The sequence below is a fragment of the Homo sapiens genome, chromosome 8 (assembly GCF_000001405.40).
Source record: "Homo sapiens chromosome 8, GRCh38.p14 Primary Assembly".
Taxonomy (NCBI): domain Eukaryota; kingdom Metazoa; phylum Chordata; class Mammalia; order Primates; family Hominidae; genus Homo; species Homo sapiens.
In genome coordinates, this window is record NC_000008.11 from 89,825,700 (window position 1) to 89,829,481 (window position 3,782).

Sequence of the window (3,782 nt, forward strand, 5' to 3'; positions counted from 1 at the left end):
AAGAAATAAGATTAGAGTATGGACATGTTTGGAAGAAGATTTAGGGGAAATCTTTCTAGTTTGAAATGGTGAATATTAAAGATGGAGCAGTTCCCACAATCATTTGAGTCTATTTTTTATTGAAATTATAATAACAAATTAGCTTTGCTAATCTTATTTCATTTACTACAACAAACCCTATGAAATTTTTGCTGCTCATGGTATAATTGTCCTTATCTTTGAGATGGGTAAACCAGATCATTCAGAGTGATGTAAGAGGGATTTATCCAAGACTACATGCCAGTGAGTGGGAGAGCTCAAGGCTCAATCTCAGACCTTTTTTTTTTTTTTTTGGTGCAGTGATGTGATCATAGATGACTACAGCCTAGAACTCCTGGCCTCAACCACCCACAGTGCTGGGATTCCAAGTGTGAGCTACCATGGCCAGCCAATCTCACGTCTTCTGACTCCAGCTACTATGGCATTTCCGCGACACTATGCCTTTTCTTGCCAGTGATGAGTGAGGTCAGCTGCTATCCAGTAAACGAAATGGCTCCAGTTTTTCATTTCCTCTTGATTGTCTTGTCTAGTGGTTGCATTAAATCTGGAAGTACTTGGTCCTGTCTGCCTCCAGCCTACTGTTCCCCTGACTCCTGATAAGTGACTAAACAAAATGACAAGTACAAGGGGATTTCCAGTGCTACTGGCTTGTTTCTGTGTGGTCTTTGATTTTTCAAGAGTAATGAGCAAAAAAAAAACAGAAAAGAAAAAAGAAAAAAATGTCTCTTATATATGCCATCTAAATTTCTCTCCCTTTCTTTCCATGTGTACTTACATAGAAATACCAGTTGCTGTGTTTGCACAGCACCCAGCTGATAATAGCGAAAGCCTCTCATTCTTCACACCCATTTCCCAGGCTCTTTAATGTGGGCTCAAGGGAAGGGCACCTCCCCTGCAGTTTAAGCGTGATCCAAGTGGAATGATTCACACCAGGCCCTGCTCTTCTTTTCAATGTAAGTAAATCTGATGTGTATCTTACAGAAACTGTTATTGGCAAGAATTCCTCCCCTGTCCCACTCATGTTCTATATTCATATTTCTGAGGATATTCACAGATCTCTACCCATATTTAAGTTAAGGGAAGTGCATCTTAAAGCTTCTTAAATCTATGAGAGACCTAAGATCCTGGGCCAGAGACTGACCAGAAACAAGCAGGACATAGGGTCTGAAGAAGCACATTCCTCCCTCAGGTCCTCCGCACACCTTCCTTCCCCTTTGATGGGACAATCAGGAGGCAGTGTCACATCTGTCCTTACTGAGTTCTTGCTAGTTTTTTTTAAATCTATTTATTTATTTATTTATTGACTGGATTATGAGACCAGCTAATTTTTGTATTTTTGGTAGAGAGGGGATTTTTACCATGTTGACAAGTCTGGTCTTGAACTCCTGGGCTCAAGCTATTCTCCTGCCTCAGCCTCCTGAGTAGGCGGGGCTACAGGTGCATGCCACCATGCCCGGCTAATTTAGAGATGGGGTTTCACTATGTTGGCCAGGCTGGTCTTCAACTCCTGACCTCAAGTGATCCACCAGCCTCGATCTCCCAAAGTGCTGGGATTACAAGCGTGAGCCACCGCACCCAGCTCCATTAGTTTTTGAGTTTGTAATCTTAATTACAGTATAGTCATATAAACATTAGTTTTTCTTCATGAAATAACTGTGATTGAAAGTCGTTTCTTCCCCTGACTATACACTATGCTTTCAGGTTATACTTGTGTTTTGCTGTTGTTGTTCTTGCTGCTGATGCTTTATGGATTTCAAAATGACGGAAAAGGAAAACAGCATAGGGAAGCTGATCCTCTTCCACACCCAGAGGGCCATTCTGCTGCCTCTCTTCCAGACACAAAAGGAGACAGAGCAGACATTCATGTGGCTGAATTCCTAATTTTCCATTATAGCTGCCAGCATGTGTGAAAACAAGCATAAAAACCAAAGACTTACCTTAATCTTCATTTCAGTCTATTTGGCATTTCTTGCACTTCCAAGTCTGAGGGATGAGTTATCTACCACAGCTAGGAAAATTTATCTCTATGCATTTACATTTGAACATTTTTACCAACTAAATAAAAGATAGATTGCTCTTAACTACTGCAAAAAGATGATTACTTTTTTCTAATATATGACTAAAATTTCTGCCCTATCTAGTTTTTTACATAGAAAGGTTAATTTCTATGAATCATTGCAAAGATAAAAATAAATTTTGATTAAAAATATTTATTCAATGGAAATACTATAAAGGGAGGATTTTAATATTGTTTCTACTGATGTAACTTGTCTTAATGGAAAACATCAGTGGATCATGGCTTTGGGAATCTCAGACTCATAATAATTACCACCTGTTTTGTGTTTGCAACGTGCCAGACACGGTAGTAGAGACCAGGATTTCAGAAATAAGTTAGATGTAATTCTGTCCCCAAATAATTTATGCCTAATAATAAAAACAGGTTTATGTCCACTTTGGATGAAATGAGTTGCTCTCATTCTGTTGCTCAGGCTGAAGTGCAGTGGCACAATCTCATCTCACTGCAATCTCATTGTTCCAGGTTCAAGTGATTCTTGTGCCTCACCCTCCCGAATAGTTGGGATTATAGATGTGCACCAACACACCCACTAATTTTTGTATTTTTAGTAGAGACAAGGTCTTGCCATGTTGGCCAGGCTGGTCTCAAACTCCTGGCCTCACGTGATCCACCCACCTCAGCCTCCCAAAGTGCTGGGATTACAGTCATGAGCCACTGTGCCCAGCTGGAAGCCAAGATTTTAATGCAAAATAAGAATTATCTAGGGTGAAGCTACAATATTGTGAAGGGAGTACAGAGCTGGCTTGAGATTAGAAAGGTTTTCTAGAGAGGTCACCCTCTCTAGAGTCAGTTTCAAAGTTGGGTAATACCAAGTGATTAACAAATACATCAACAGTTAAGGGCAGTTTAGGTGAACAGACTATGTGCAGATCATCTAACATAGTCACTGAAGATTAAGTAAGAATAAGAAATAGGCCTTGCTAAGCACTATAGGGAGGGAAGACAACCTAACCGATAATTATGTTAAGTATTATAACAGAAGCGAGCACAATGTCCAAAAACTGCATAGAGGCGGGTATTTCACTCAGCTCTGCAGATCAGAAAGGCTTCCCAGAACAGTAATGCTTTAGCTGAATCTTAATGAATAAGGATTTTTCCTGTGGTCAGAGAAGTGGGAAGGAAAGGACAGTTAAGGAGAGATTATACAGAAGATATTGGAAATGGAATGGATAATTTGTGCTCAGTCATTCGGCACTCACTATGTGCTAGACACTGGATGTTATCACAAGATGGGGTGGAGATTGATCTTGGACAAGACATACAGCAGCCAGATCATCTTTTTAAAAAGTAAATCACATCATTTTACTCTCCTATTCAACAACCTCCAAAGTGTGCTCCCCTTGCAAGCATAATAACTATTGTGGGTTCTTAGCATGACCCACACTGTCCAATATGATCAGTTCCCAAAAAATTTCGACAAGCTCACCTCCTGCCACATGCACTTACTCCCTCTGGCATTTTTTCTGTTTTGTAGGACAAACCTTTGGCTTCCCCAGGGGATTTTCTCCCTCCACCTGGAATGCTCATTCCTCATCATTTAGGTCTTAGCTCAGATGCTTTCAGAAGCCTTTCATTATCACCATATGAGAGTAACCCTCTTCCCCCAACGCCCTGCCTTAGACAATCTCAGTCTCATCTCCCTGTTTTTCGTTGTTGTTTTTTTTTC

At 40.4% G+C, this 3,782-nt stretch overlaps 1 annotated feature.

Moving 5' to 3' along the window:
• Positions 557 to 686: an enhancer, noted in NCBI's record as "active region_27606". NCBI's record gives its function as "activates an Ori minimal core promoter by ATAC-STARR-seq in GM12878 lymphoblastoid cells {active_cell/tissue: GM12878}" and the evidence as "EXISTENCE:reporter gene assay evidence [ECO:0000049][PMID:35858748]".